General features: G+C 31.6%; 1 protein-coding gene across 8 annotated transcripts in view; it reads left to right on the forward strand.

The window, feature by feature from the left end:
• CNKSR2 (connector enhancer of kinase suppressor of Ras 2) overlaps positions 1 to 16,606 on the forward strand; it is a 280,272-nt gene that overhangs the window by 52,544 nt on the left and 211,122 nt on the right. For all 8 annotated transcript variants that reach the window (NM_014927.5, NM_001168647.3, NM_001330770.2 and 5 more), the window contains exons 3-4: positions 5,651 to 5,853; positions 13,733 to 13,820. In NM_014927.5, coding sequence (NP_055742.2) covers positions 5,651 to 5,853; positions 13,733 to 13,820 — 291 coding nt within the window. The remainder of the gene's footprint in view (positions 1 to 5,650; positions 5,854 to 13,732; positions 13,821 to 16,606) is intronic.

The raw sequence follows: 16,606 nt of genomic DNA on the forward strand, positions 1-16,606 counted from the left end.
TCACACTGCCAGTTGAGAAAGGAAAGAATATTGATTGACAGTGTTACATACATACAGTCTAGACGTTTGAAGTTTGACCCATGAACAAGGCTCTGCCGACCTAAACCTACTTAAAAGGATGGCATCAGAAATAGATGTCTAGACCACTTCTAAGTTTGAACCATGTAGCTGTGGTGAATCCTTTCTGATGCTGAGCTTTAATCCCTGTACAGTTCTGGGTTTAAGCACCAGGTTTAAGTCATGTCATTTGGATAGTTCATTATGTGATTGAGCTCTTCTGGAAGTTAATGCGGAAAATAAATTTAAACACCATTTTTTTTTCTGTTTATTCAGCAATTCCTTAGTCGCAGTCCCCAAAGAGGTCAAATGTTAAACTTCCTTCTTACCCCTTCCTAATGTAGTGGATATACATCAACAAGTCAGAAGTACAGATGTATTTCAGTTTATGCAACAGATGCTTTCTGGGGAATATAAAGCAAATTTCTGGGTAGTGAATTCTAATTTTCTTCTACATACCATTATGAAATCAGGAGGTGAGATTCCTTATCAACAAGCTGAGTTGACTAGTCCAGGAAGTTGTGCTATTGGGACTATATCTTTACCTCCTTCCCCTCTATCCCCAACTACTCTTTGAATTTCCGTTTACCCTGCTAAGTCTTGTCTCTCTGATCTTTACTGGCCTTTCTACATTTTCCTTATGTCTACTGTATTCATTTCTTTTTCAACAATTACATATTCATGCTCAAACAGTGCTATCACGGGGAATGCAAAGATGAAAAAGACAGTCTGTACTCCTGAAACATATACAGTCCATTAAGAAAGACAATAGCCATCAGAAGACAACATAGATTTAAAGAAAATTCCAGGGGAGTGTAGAAGGAAATGAACACTTCTGAGGGATTCAGGAAGTGTAGGTAAGATATGCATTTGGTCTTGCAGGATGATGAGATGTTTGCCAGACAAAAAGTTGGAGAAAAGTTATCTAGGCAGAAGAAATATCATGTGTAAAGACAGAATTGTGAAAGAATATGGAATATTCAGAGAAAATTGAGAATTTTCATTTAGCTTGTGCAGAATGGGAAGTGATGGGAAAAAAGGGAACTTAACACCTTGTATTACAATTCTTTGCTTAGGTTCTTTTATCCTTTAATTCATGTTGGGCTCCTCAAAGGAAGACATCTTTGTTTAGTTCATATTTTTTATTCAGCTTTCTGCCCAGTGCTTAGCTCATAAAAGATGCTAAATTAATGTTATCTTACTGAATTAAACTCTCTGTCTTTCTTCAGAGAAGCATAATTTTTCTCTTACCTGCATAGCCTTTGACTTTGAAGTTTCTGTTCCTCATATAAAGGAAGACATAGAAAAATTAGCAGATTCCTTTTGTTTCTTTAAGCTATACTATATTTTCGTCTACCTTGTCTTGAAGTTATTCCTTATGTGAATAAATGTTTATGGCAGCTGATGAGAATCAAAGGTTTATTTAGTCACTTGTTTATTCATGCAACATATATTTATTAAGCATCAGATATATTGTTTGCATCATGTTATTCTAGAAAGAAGTAAGCTGTTCATGATTTGGAGGTGTAATAATATTTCAAGCTATTAAGCTATAATTTAGTATGCTTTAATAGAGAGCAAAGATATTAACTGAAAGAGTAAAAATGTAAATAAAAATATATATATAGCTTAACGTATGGTCCTTAATTTGTGTTCTGACAATACACTTTTTATTAGGAACTGTAAATAAATCATTTATGACAGGATAAGAACAGTTTTCATTTCATTTTTCATGTACTTATAATTTCAGGCATTTTGCATGAAAGATTTGATGTTTGCAATTGCTGGGATTTGTTTCTTTGCAACATAATTGCTTGGTTCATTCATCTTAAAATAATTTATTTTCCAAAAAAATTCATTAAAGCAAGCCTTTTAGGACTCACTCATATTTATAAAGCAATGTATTATAAAGCTAAAAAGGTGCTACACGATGCATTCAAATTAAGAACTCTGAATAAAATGGCATTGACATTGTAAAATCTGTTGTTGCCAATATTAAGTATTTCTAGTTAAGTGGTTAGTGAAAATTTGCCACTAGTGAGGATATAGCTGACCTTATTTTTCTAAAATGTTAAATACATTTCTTTATTTCTTTCAAATGCTTTTGCATGCATATGATTGAAAGAGAAGGCTGATATGAACTTAGCATAAATTCATTAAGACTTAAATGGCTGTGTTGAATCAGTTCTAAGTCATTACTGGTTCTGGCACATGGTAATGGCCAAGTATATGAACAAATAAGTAACATATATGACAAACACAGCAGCTAAGTACATTTCATGTATAAGTTTTTGTTTTCTTGAGGTAGTCCTTTTTATACTAATAGTAATACCAAGTTTTGCTATGCATATCCAATAAAAAGCAAATCTGTGGTGAATAAACCTGCATTTTTAAAAAGTTGAGGCAGTGCCCTCCGTACCCCTGGCCTAACACAAAAGGTGCTTGATATACTTGTCAGTTCTTTAAATGGTAGGTAAGGGTGTGTGATTTACTGGTGACTTACCATGTCACAACAAACCATCCACTTACATGAAAGAAATAGCCAGAAGGTATCTGTATTGGTAGTAATTGAGAATTGTAATTATAAAAATTAACCTGAGGCTGGGCATGGTGGCATGCCTGTAATTCCAGCACTTTGGGAGCCTGAGGAGGGCAGATCACTTGAGCCTAGGAGTTCAAGACCAGCCTGGGCAATGTAGCAAGACCACATCTCTACAAAAAATTTAAAAATTAGCCAGGTGTGCTGGCATACACCTGTAGTACCAGGTACTTAGAAGGCTGAGGTGGAAGGATCGCTTGAACCCAGGAAGTCCAGGCTGCAGTGAGCTGTGATAATGCCACTGCACTCCATCCTGGGTGACAGAACGAGACCCTGTATCAAAAAAATAAAATAAAATAAATTTTAAAAATTAAAAAGTTAACTTGAGAGATCAATTAATCTCTTTTGTTAAAATAGTAGCACATAAATCTGGTTACATACAGATGAGCTTCTTACCTATTATACTCTTCTAAATTTTTAAAACATGTTTTTAGATTATCAGTGTAGTTATGTTCATTAACTAGAGCAAGTTTTAACAATTTCCTTCCCCATCCTCTGCTACATATCTTTTAAAGATTCTTTTTTCCTCTGCATTTCTCTGTCCTCTACATTTTTCACCTCTATTCTGCGTAATATATTTTTAGGAGGTTTCCAAGTTAGAACCTCTGAGAGTATCCTTCCAGGTTTTGTCCGGATGATTATTATATTCCCTAATTCTTGAGTCATATGAAAAATAATAATTTTAGTTTCTTAAATTTTGAAGACTCTGGAATATTTTTACTTTGCCTTTGGATTTTTACTTATAAGAAGATTAATATTATTTTACCTTTCCTAATAAATCATTTGAGATGCTAGTGTTATATAGAGATAAACAATTTAAAATAATCTTTTATGGAGGCTAATAGCTACAGAGTGAAATATCAGTTACCAAGTTGAGTAGGTTTCTCGCTAATAAATTGTTATAATTTGAACTTCTCTAAGAGATTACTATAATTTGTTGGCAAACAAATGTTTTCTTATTAAACTCATTTATACACAAAAATGAAAAATACAATCATTTTTTACTTTAGAAAAATGCTTTAACACAGGGAAAACTTCTGAAAATACTTTGCTTTTCAGTATTTTCATTTACAATTACATTTACAGAAGAAATATCATTTACAGTTAGTTTGTATAGTTATAAATTGTTCTTATCTAGTCATTAGAGAGCATCTTTTATAAACATAAGAGGATTTCTTTCATACTGTAGTGACCGGCTGGACAAACTCTCCCACATTTCACAAATAATCCATTCTTAAATGCAATAGAATTTGAATAGAATGTTGTTTTATTTGCCCAAGCAAATCTTTTAACATGAGAGAAGAATATTACAGTTCAAATTAAGCAGTGAATATTTAACATATTAATACTATGTTATTTTAGAAAACAAATTTATAACTTTAGAAGAAAGTGTTCTTTTAATAAATATGTAAATTCCCAGCAAAAGACAAGCAGACTTTTATCACGATTAAATCTGTAGTGGTAACATACATAACTTGGTATTTAATGTTTAGGCATCAAAACCTTCCTCTCCCCTCATTTTGTCTCCACTAAGTTTTCTCTTGTCTTAAATTGTCATAGGAAAAAAAGACACCTAAATGTTATATACAAAGTAGGTACCCAGTGATTGTTGACTTAATAACATAGCTTAATTCATTGTATGGCTTACTTTCCTTTTTCACCCTTCATCTTCCACTTTGACTTAATTATTGTTACCATGTTTCTGAGAATAGGAGTAGAATATTGGTGCTAAGGAATGTGGTAGACATATCCGCTCACAGATGGCCTGGTGACTTGTAGTTCCATTCTGAACTCTGTCTAGTCCAAGTACAGAGTTTTTTAAGCAAACTGTTAAAAAAGAAATCTTCCCATACCTCAGTTTCCCCAACTGTGAAAAGGTAAGTCAAACTTAGCCTCCCAGGCCCAAGCAAATTCTTACATTCTTTGGGTTTTGCCATTTTAAGTAAGGTGGTAATAACTTTAACTTTACACACAACAGTAATGTGCATGCTGCTAAGTGTTTTAATCAAGGTTATCCTTGGATAATATTAACCAGCCTTTTTAAGGGGTGTTTTACAACACACAATTAGCTGCTTTACATTTTAATTGTAACTTTTGAAAACTTTCCCCAAAGTTTGAAGGGATCCTACAATCTTTTTCTATTTGAAGATAGTAAAAAGGCTTATTACACTTATTCATATAACCCGTTTCTGCTATAAAGTATAATAGATAAGATATTTAGGATGAATTAACAAATATTAGTTGAAATGTGAGAACAAAGAAAAGAAGAAAACAAATACACTTACCAAAAAGTCACTGTGATTGCTTTTGGTGTGCTTCATATTTAGTTGTGAGCTAATACAGCCAGGACAAAAACAAAAATAATTTTAGTTTCATAATTTGTATTACAAAAAGGAGAAAGTATATTAGTTCCCCTGAGGAAGCAGAGTTTTTCCTGATACCATATTATAAAAGAAACTTCTTATACATCATTATGTAGAGTACGTATTTTTTTATCTGATTTATTTACCTGATTTATTTCTTGCTTTTTCATTTTATTATTGTTGGTTGTGTTTATTTTCCTAACTTTGGGGAAGCAGAATTATCCCTAGTACCTACATTCCTGACCATGTGTATTGTTAATAGAATATCTACTCAAAAATAATTGTTGATAATAATTAATTTCACAAGTAAATAAACTTAGGTTTTGGTTTTAAAAAACAAATTTATTATTTCTTACAATCTTGCTTTCTTGGGTAGCATAGTTCTAAGATACAATGCCCTTATCTTTCCATGTTCATATTAGTACTTAACACATTTTATTATAATTTCTTTATATGACATCTTCCCAAATAGTCACTTAACTGTGGGCTCCGCTAGGTCAGGAATCCTATCTTATTCATTTGTAACTCGAATGCTACCCCATTGCCTGTGCATAATAAAGTATTCAGTAAATATTTTCATGAATGAATAAAACTGACTTTAAATATATTCTCTCTCTTTTTTATAATTCAGAATTATGGCTTGGAAACAGAAAATCTAAAAACCCTTTCTCACAAGTTGAATGCATCTGCCAAAAATCTGCAGAATTTTATAACAGGAAGGAGAAGGAGTGGCCATTATGATGGGAGGACCAGCCGAAAATTGCCAAACGACTTTCTGACCTCAGTTGTGGATCTGATTGGAGCAGCCAAGAGTCTGCTTGCCTGGTTGGACAGGTAAAGTCTTCCGCATGTTTCATAAGTATCCTCTCCTCAGACACCAGTTTGAATATAACATTATTTTGCATTTTGTTGTGAAAGGATTGGACAGGCAGAGGAGTACCAAGTAATAAATGTCTAATGATGATTTACCACAATATAGGGGTATTAAATAGATATTAGTCTTTTATAAAATTTGATGTCCAACTAAGTAGCCAATCAATAATTAGTCTGACAACTGTAAAATACCTTGCTGCTTTATAAGCAAAATCATTATTTGGCTGTCATAATAAAATTTATAAATTTTTGTTTATTATAATACTGCTTTGTGTCCTGATGTTCTTTATTCATATTAATTGGTTGTACTTAAGGAAATGACCATTGGGATTCTATAAACTGTTTTAAATAGGTAATTAGACACTGACACCTTCATAGCATGCCTTGTATGTCTCCTTGGCCTCGCTTCATTCATTCTCTGTTATTAATTACATTGTACTATTTTGGATATCATAAACACACTTTTAGACTTTTTTAAGTTTAGTTGACTTTCATTTGTTTTGGAACACATAAAATAGTATAAAAGTCTTGTAATATGAAATGAAAATGTTAGATTTAAATTATATACTGTATGTGGTTAAACATTATCATGATAAAACACATTACAACTGTTTATTAAAAAACTAAACAAATTCTCTACTTTCAGTTTTGGAATTTTTGGTAAGGGGTATGTACTATGTTTAATGGCTTAATAATCAAATTTTAAAAATGCTCTTTGTCTTTCATAAGAAACTCTGATAATATACATTACCAGAATTCTTTCTTGAATAATTGTCAGTAGGATATTCATATGTGTTCCTACACACACACACACACACACACACACACACACACACACACACGCCAGTATTACATTTTGGCATTTTAAAAACATGAGGCCTTATATTAAAAGTAAAGCTTTTGTATTTTTAAGGTGAAAATTGAGATAATTTTCCTTAATTTTATATTGTCTAATTTTATATATACTTATACATAATATAAAGTGATGATACTAAATCCAAATATGAAACACTAAACTATATATTACTAGCTTTTTGATAATTAATTAATGGACTACATGTTTATTTTGCATTATAACATTATTAAAATTTAATTTTCATAATTGTCTAAGCCACATTATCAAGTGTTTAAATTAATTGAATTTTAAATATATACATTCCAAAAGTTATGAATGGTCAGTAAGTAAAATATGGCTTAGTCCTTAAGTACTATTAATATAATACATTTGTTTTGGTAGGCTTTACAGTAATCAGAAGGCTTAAAGAACACATCCTTGATTATAATTGTATCTTCTTTTACTCTCATTTTCCCTATAATTATAAATTTGCTCAGCCTTGATATCTGCATTTAGTAAATTCATTTATATATTTTTTACCCTAGTATTTGTTAGATGGATAGATAAACTGTTAGAGTGAATAGAAAATGTTTTTACTTCTTGATGACAGATATGGCTATTTATAAAATCGCACATTTCCCACACTATAGTAGTCCTTGAGATTTTATCGTATCAATTTTTTATGGTGGTATTACTTTCATTATGTAATAAAATGCTTTTGGTAAGTGCCAAATCACCTACAAAACACATATGTGCATGCACACCTACAAAAGCACATAAAAACACACCCAGTGTGTCAGTGCAGATTTGCTTTAATTTGAGGGATTTAAAATGAACCCTGCAAATGAATACTGCCAAGCATTTGATCTTTAACTTTAGTTTATTCCTTCAATATACAATACTTTAGATGAAGAATAAAAATTTTGTCAGTTAAATAGGATTAATTTGATGTTATAAGCACCTGTTTTCATTTTTAAACAGCTATAAGTTTTATGGCATTACAAAATTTTTATTACATTTTGGAGAAAACGTGTATCCACAGCAATATGTTTTGGGTTTATTACAGTTTTTATTTTATGTCACTTGAAAGAGGAGAAAGAAAAAGAAAGAATAGGTTAAAAAAAATCTTTAATTTTATTCTAGATGCTGAACTAGATGCTTTATACATAAGTATATATACTCTCAGCTCATTGAATTCTCACAGAGCAGATATTGTTATCTCCATTTTACATATGAAATGTGAAATAACTTGCCTAAAGTCATTCATCTAGTATGAAAGTTATACTTTGAATTTATTTTTGTCTGACATTGAAGTCCTGTTATTTTTTCCTTCATGTTCCTTTATCATGCTACACCTCGTTTTGAATGCTGACTAATTCTTGAGGATTTTGAGGAAGGGATATGGCATATAAACCTTTATTTACATTTTGCTATTTCTCTTCAAAAGCTAAATAAGACTACCACTTTTCTGTTTTGGGCCTCAGTATCTGAAATTGCTACATAGAACTTCATTTATAGAAAATGTTTATTTCACTGTTTATGGTAAAAGTTTACTATTTTCTCTCATTTTTAACATTAATATTTAATTCTAATTGTTTCTAAAATACCTTTCAAGATTATTCTATTTTAAAGGGATCATTGAAATATTTTTGATAACATTGCAAAACCTTTAAATGTTTAGGGCGTAATAGTGTGCTAGGAAAATAATATTTATGACTCACAAAAACTCCAGTTTCAATGGAGCTTCCATTTAAATGAGATACACGTTCAAAGACCAGCTCCTTACATTTCCTAAATAAGATAAAATCTAAGGTTAACACAATTCCATTTTTTCTCCTATTTAAAATATTGATTTCAGTGAAACACCAGACTTTCCCAGAGGAATAGTCTCAGAGGTGAATCACAGTTGGTAGCTTTACTGTTTATTTTCAATGCATGGTTTACTTGTCTGTTTTTAACCTACATCCTACTGTTTTTGACACCTCATATTTCTTGCAGTTTTCTGTGGCTTTGCCAAATCGATCTATACTCAGAAGTTTACAGATCACTACAAGTGTTACGTTGTACAGTAACATTAGTAAAAATGTTCAAAATTATTATTAAACAAAGTTTATTTTGCCTTTCATAGTAAAAGTTTTTTTCCTTCATTTTTACCAGTAATACCCAATTCTGAGAGTTTATAAAATACCTTTTTAAGGTCATCCTGTTTTGATGGGATCAGTGAGATCTCTTGATATCATTGAAAACCTTTTACATATTTAAGGCATAAGAGTTTAAGGTACTAGGGAATTTTTGTTAAGATTTCTCTGAAATTTTTTGTCTTATGTAAGAAAATTGTTAAACTAATTTCTTCTTCCATGATAAGAAACTAAAGGACAAATTAATTTTATACCAGGAAAAATATTACAGAGACCAAGAAAACCACATCAAACGCTACCAGATAATGTGATCCATTGTTTGGTCTTATTTTCTCTCATGTGCTCATTGTTTCTCACTTAGCACTAATTATTCAAGGGAAGAGCAGTGACATTAGCACTACCATTATTCACAGACTACCCTAAGGTTTCAGCAGTGCCAACCTGAGAAATAGTAAGGCATTCCAGATTTTCCTTATTAACCTCTTAGCTTTCCTTATTAGTTTCTAATTTGTTTAGGATTTCTGAATCGTTAATAACCTTTTTATAAATGTAATACTTTTGTTTAGATATAATGTACAAAGAATAATTTCTTATAGGGTCTTAAACTTTTGCACCAGAGAGAAATATAAGCATCGTATTATCTATATGATGATTTAAGGAGTACAGTCGCTTAATTTTTAAGATTTAAATAGGATAATTCCTGTAACAGCCACTTATCGATGATCCAAGGATTTTATCTTTTTTTCTCTTTCTGGCATCAAAAAGCTTTCTTGCTATGAATTTAATTTCCTTTAATTAGAGTTATTGTGTTCTTCTTGTAAGTACCCTGAACTCTACTTGAGGATTTCTTCAGACTTAAGAACAGTTTCTTTATTTTTGTTTTTGTTTTTGTGTGTGTGTGTATGTGCATGCATGCTGATCATGTTCAGTTATTCTACAGAGATCTATCGTTTTTACTCTCATAGATGATCATTAAGTCATGACTGAGTGATAATCTTTGGTAACCCACAAAGATTGGAGCCCCACCTGACCTTTTACCCTTATTTATATGTAGATACAGCCCAAATCATCATACCAAACCTTAAAATCTGCTGGCTAAGAATGGCTGTTAGTACAGTTGTATATGATTTGCCTCTAAGATAAAAACTTTAGGGTAATTCTAAATCACTACAAAATAAAATCTGTTTTCCTTGGTATGTGTTTAGATTTTTCTTTTCATTTTTTCTTGAAATTTAATCTTGAGTGAAAAGCTTGTCCTACTTAAAATATGAATGGTCAGGAAAGTGGAAGACATGCCTTGGAATTCAGTTTGCTATAGGCATTTAGTGATCAAATAGATTTTTTCTTTTCTATATTTGAACATCAAGTGAGATTCTTTTAAGTAGTTATGGTAAAACAAAACAAAACAAAACAAACATGCTGTGCATCACCTCATCACTTCTTAATGAAATTTTAAGATTTTATAAACAGACTCTGACCTTTTCAAACCTAGGAATCGAAACTCTTTTCTAATCATGCCAGAAGCACTTTTGAATTCTTAGTTTAAAATGCCAGTTTTTATGCTTCAATGCAGCAAAAATGGTCTCTATGTAGTTTTTTTTTTTTTTTTTTTTGAGACAGTCTCACTCTGTCGCCCAGCCTAGAGTGCAGTGGCGTGATCTCGGCTCACTGCAACCTCTGCTGCCCAGGTTCAAGCGATTCTCCTGCCTCAGTCTCCTGAGTAGCTGGGATTACAGGCACCCGTCACCATGCCTAGCTAATTTTTGTATTTTTAGAAGAGACGGGGTTTCACCATCTTGGCCAGGCTGGTCTTGAACTCCTGACCTCGTGATCCACCTGCCTCGGCCTCCCAAAGTAATTTTTTTAAATTAATGATATTCTCCTAGAAGTGCTTATATTTTTCATTAAAAATATTTTTATTGAGGCCTAATTTATATTCTATAAATTAACCTATTTTAAGTATACAGTTTGATGGGTTTTAGTAAATTTTGATAACACCTAATACAACCACCTTTACAATCCAGTGTTAGAAAACTTCCATCAGGATGGATTTTTAACAGTTGGTTTCTGCTTACAACTAAAGAGGTTAATTTTTTTTAACTGACAATTTTGATTAATCACATTTTTTTCTAATTCAGTTTTTTAAATTCTTATGTCTCCTTTTATTTAAGTAAATTATCTTGAAAAAATATACTGGGTTTAGGAGTAGGAATAGATAAGTTCATGAAAGAGAGCCTATAATACACTGTGGTGTAGTCATGCATTGCTAATGATAAGGATTGGCAATTTTGTTGTTGTGCAAACATCATAGAGTGTGCTTACATAACCTAGATGATACAGCCTACTACACACCTAAACTATATGGTATAGCCTGTTGCTCCTAGGCTAGAAACCTGTACAGCATGTGACTGTACTGAATACTATAGGCAATTGTAACAGAATGGTAAGTATTTGTTCCATATCTAAACCCAGAAAAGGTACAGTAAGAATACAGTATTATAATCTTATGGGACCATTGTGGTATATGCGGTCTGTTGTTGACCAAAACGTCATTTTATGCAGCACATGACCGTATATAGAATCATTTAGAAAACAATATGTTAAAACCACTAGAAAAAGAAAGGGCCATTTAATAAATTGTAGTGGGGCGCTTGGTTAAGCCTTTGGAAAATAAATAATGATAGAGCACTATCTATTTTTCTTCACTAAAATAAATTTTAGATATATCAGATATCTAAGAAGAAAATATAAATTTACAAGAAAACTAGAAAAAATATAGGCAAAAATGATTTCTAGATGTGGAAAGACTTTCTAAGTATTTTTAAAATGGAATAAAATACAAAGGAATGTACTGTTGACTACATAAAAAAGAAAAACGTAATAAAGTATAAGACAGAAGACAAGCTGGGAAAAATATTTGCAACAAACAGATATGAAAAGCAGAGGGTTAATGTGTAATGTGTAATATTCATATATTAACATATGTGAATATTCATATTGATAAAAAACAAAGCCCACCAAAACGTAACAGATGAGTATATAAGTAGGTAAATCAAAAAAGAAGAAACAGAAATCACTGGTAAAATGTGTATATCAAACAACAGAGCTTTAAAGTGCATGAGCAAAAACTGACAGAATGAAAGAGGAAGTAGACAAATCCACAGTTGTAGACTTCATTTCCTCTTTCTCAAGAATAGATAAAATTAAACAGAAAGTAAGATTAGAAGAGCTGAGCACCACCACCTAAGAACAGGATGTTTTGACATTTTTAGAGCACTTCATCCAACAACAGGAGAATAAAAATTCTTTTCAAGTACCCATTGAACATTCACCAAGATAGACCATATCTGTATCATAAAACAAAATTCAACAAGTTTAAAAGAATTGAAATCAGATAATAAAATGAAACTGGTAACTCATACAGCACACTTATAAGTAATCCAACGGTCAAGTCTCATGGAAAATAAAAAGTAATACATTGAACAGAATGAAAAAAGACCAAATCATAATTTGTGGCACACAGCTAAAGCAGTGCTGAAAAGGAAGTGTATAGCACTGAATGCTTATATATATCAGAAATATATATATTCAAAATATATCAGAAATATATATAGTAAATATATCAGAAGCACTGAATGCTTTATATCAGAAAAGATCTCAAATCAATCATTTAAGTTCCCATCTCAAGAAAATAGAAAAATAAGAACAAAATAAGTACGGAGCAATAAGATCCTCTTAATGATAAGAGCAGAAATTAGCAAAATTGAAAACAATAGAGAAGTCAATCAAAATGTAAAGGTTAATGAACAAATATTACAGATAACTTCACATATAAATTTGGCAGCTCAGATGAAATGGTCCAATTCCTTGAGAAACGGTACTAAAACAACCCAAAATGAAATAGATACTCTGAATAATCCCATAACTATTGAAGAAAGTGAATATTACCTAGAAACGCCTCAGGGTGTGGAAAAAATCTGCAGGCTCAAATGATTTCATTGTTGAATTTTATATATTTGAAGAAGAAACACCATTTCTATACCATCTCTTCCGGAAAATAAAGGCAGGAACTTTTCCTATATCATTTTTTGAGGCAATCATTATCCTGATATACCCCTCCCCCCCAAAAAAAAACTACAGACCAATATTTCTCAGGAACTTAGATGTTAAAACCTTCAACAAAATATTACCAAACTAAATCTAAACGTGTAAAAAGAATTAGACACATGACTAAATGAGTTGCTTCAAACACTTGAAGATACATCAGTATACAGGTCCACCATTTACTAGTTGTGTGACCTTAGATAAGTCACTTAATCTTTCTCTACCTTATGCTTCTCCTCTGTAAAATGAGAATAATAATAGTGCCTATCTCATAATAGTTGTGAAGATTAAATTACCTGATACAGGTAAAGCATTTAGAATAGTAACTGGCACATAGTGAGCCCTCAGTAAACCTTAGCAGTTGTTATTACTAGCTCTTGATTGTGAATATTCTAAGTAGATACTGTACTCAGAATCTTAGATTCTTTTGAAAATAAACTGACATGTTATCTTTGCCTAAAGTATTCCTTTTTTGTTTTAGATGTAGTGAAGATACCTTGTAAGAACCAAAGAACTTAAATAATTAAGAACTTTAAAAAGAGAGAAATTTGGTAGAAAGCAAACATTATATTTCCTGAATTTAATTTTCTTCCAATCATTTCTTTCAAATCTTTCCTTAAAATAAGTCCTGAATATTTTTATCAGTATGGAAATTTCAGAACAATTTATTTCATATTATTGATAAACTCATTTTAGGCTACTATATTTTGGGACTTTTCAAAAGCTGTTACTAGTAATCACAATTTTCCTTTTCCCTTTATAGGTCACCATTTGCTGCTGTGACAGACTATTCAGTTACAAGAAATAATGTCATACAACTCTGCCTGGAGTTAACAACAATTGTGCAACAGGTATTAGCTGACAAACTTTCCTTCTGTTAATTTATTAGCAACTTCATATTCCAACAATGGGAAGTATCCTATGTACCAAGAGTTTTTAAGATACTGGTTTAGAAGTTTCTCAAAGACAAACCATTCTAAAGAAATGAAATGTGTAGTTATTTATTGGGAGACTGTGCATTTAGCTCAGTTAGCTTACCAGAAGATATAAAAGGAACCTGACCTGTACACACACAAACAAATGTGCCTAATAGCTTTTAACAGTGATCTAATTACCTGAACTGATTTTCCACTTCAAATATTATCTAAGCCAGGGATCCCCAAACCAGATGCCTTCAGGGTCCAGCAGCTAATATAAATGTTTAAATTAAGTCCGGTATAAGGCAAGGAGAAATGGAAGAGACTTGGGTGAATTGACTGGAACATATCCCATATCCAAACATATCTTTTAGAGGAAATGTAATTATAGGCATGATATATTAGTGCTTGTAAATTATCTCTTAAATAATCTGTTCTTTTTCTACTGTTATGTGATGATATCTCTTTTCAGTACCAAGTTTTTCTGGGCTCTGTGGTCTCTTGCTACCAGTAGTAGCAAGAAGAATAAGGATTAATAGGTAAAATAATGAAATAAAATAGTTAAGTGTTTATTTCTTTATGGTGAAACTATGGGTGATTTTATTTAGACTCGACTTTTCTCTATTTTCCAAATGAATTTTTATTTTCTAAAATGAATTTGAGTTATCAAAAAACAAAAAAGAATGTTAAGTACATTGAAGAAATACCTCTTTAAGTTTGCCAAAGGAACACAGCTTAGACAAATACTGAAATTATACTTTAAAATAAATTACATAGCTTACGAACAGTTAATGTTCATCTAATCATCTAATTCAGCCATTATATACATACTAATCACTGCATTTGATTGGAATTGTATGAAGTATCTGAAGACAGGAATTAAACTTAAGCTGCCAGTAAAAGAGGCCAATTTGAATAAGCAAGGTGTAGACTTTTAAAAAAATCTAGGACATGCATTTATTACCAGGCTTTCAAGAAATCTCTTCTGAACAGTTATGATGATGATTATGCTTTGAAATATGCTGTGCTTCAAATTATTTTTCATTCAGCTTTAATTATTTTTATTCCCTTTGCAGCAAGATGAGATAATCAATATCTAAAAATAAACTGTCACAAATGGCTTTTTTCCCCTTCCTAAAACAAAGTGGTGCTACTATGAAGTAAAAGGAAAGTGCTTCTTGATATTGGCCACTTACATTTAAAATAATACTAAAATTAGAGGAGAAAGTTAATGTCAGTTTCTTTTGAAAACCTCCATTTGCAGGAATTTGTTTAATCTGCTATATTTATTTTACTTATTCCCAGTTGTGATGGGTTTGGATCATTGTATTTGAAGCCTTTTAAAGAGATTTCCGCCCCCCTCCCCAACACTTTCCTCATCACATAAGATTGGTTATAATGACACTTTTGAAAAAAAAAAAGAGAAACTGGTTTTAAAATCTTAAATAGAATTCTCACAAAGAACTGAAGCTTCATTTAGAACACTGACAGCAACTGAATCAGAACAATGAGACAGGTACCCACACACTACTTGTCAGCCTTTAAATAATTGCCATGATGCCTTCCTTAATGGATATCAGCTTAACCTAAAATTATTCTACTGTACCATTTTTATGTTCTCCACTTCAAACACAAAAATGATGAATTAGATTGCCACTAGTTAAGAAATAAGCACAAAAGTGTTGGTTTGCAAGATGAAACTTTGGTGAAGCTTAAAATACATGGGGCAAGGTTGTAATCTTGGAAGATTTGAGACTCAGCCCTGTTTTTCATGATGATTCCACATTGGACAAACGATGTCATTGTTTTCGCCATCTGTAAACAGAAATAATCACCTCTACCTCAAAGTTTTTCTGAGAACCAAATGAGATTTATTTAAAAATAGTGAAGACTTAGAATCAACCTAAATGCCCATCAGTAGTAGACTAGATTAAGAAAATGTATATATACACCATGGAATACTGTGCAGCTATAAAAAAGAATGAGATCATGTCCTTTGCAGCAACACAGATGGAGCTTGGAGGTCATTATCTTAAGCAAACTTAACACAGGAACAGAAAACCAAATACCATATCTTCTCACTTATAAGTGGGAGCTAAACATTGAGTACACGTGGACACAAGGGAACAACAGGTACTGGGGCCTACTCGAGGGTGAAGGGTGGGAGGAGGGTGAGGATCGAAAAACTACCTTTCGGGTACTATGCTCATTACGTATGTGATAAAATCTGTACAGCAAACCCCATGATACCCAATTTACTTATATAACAAACCTGCACATGTACCCCTGAACCTAAAATAAAAGTTAAAAAAAGTAAAATAAAATAAAATAGCTGATGAGTGTAAAGTGAAAAACAAAGATGAAAATAATATTATTTACAAAAATGGGTAAGGAATAAAGAGACTTGATAAAAGGAAGTAAAATAGGAACTTTGTTTTGAAAAATAAATGTCAGAGATTTTTTTCTCCATTTGGTGTTAGTTTTCATGAGCTGCATTTACAGTGAAATCTGAATTAGGTGCTGAGGGAAAAATTCAAACATGTTAAAGAACATTTTAAATCAGATTTTGAAGTGTTAAATACAGAGTGAAAAATTCCTCTTAAAACTCAAGTTTTGATGATATGCTTTTTACCTGAACTGGTCCTCTCTAAACTGTATTTATTAAAAATCTCTGCTTGCTTATGGGTCTGTTCATTTCTAACCTTCTTAGATCCATTTTA

This window comes from Homo sapiens, chromosome X (assembly GCF_000001405.40).
Source record: "Homo sapiens chromosome X, GRCh38.p14 Primary Assembly".
NCBI classification, from domain to species: domain Eukaryota; kingdom Metazoa; phylum Chordata; class Mammalia; order Primates; family Hominidae; genus Homo; species Homo sapiens.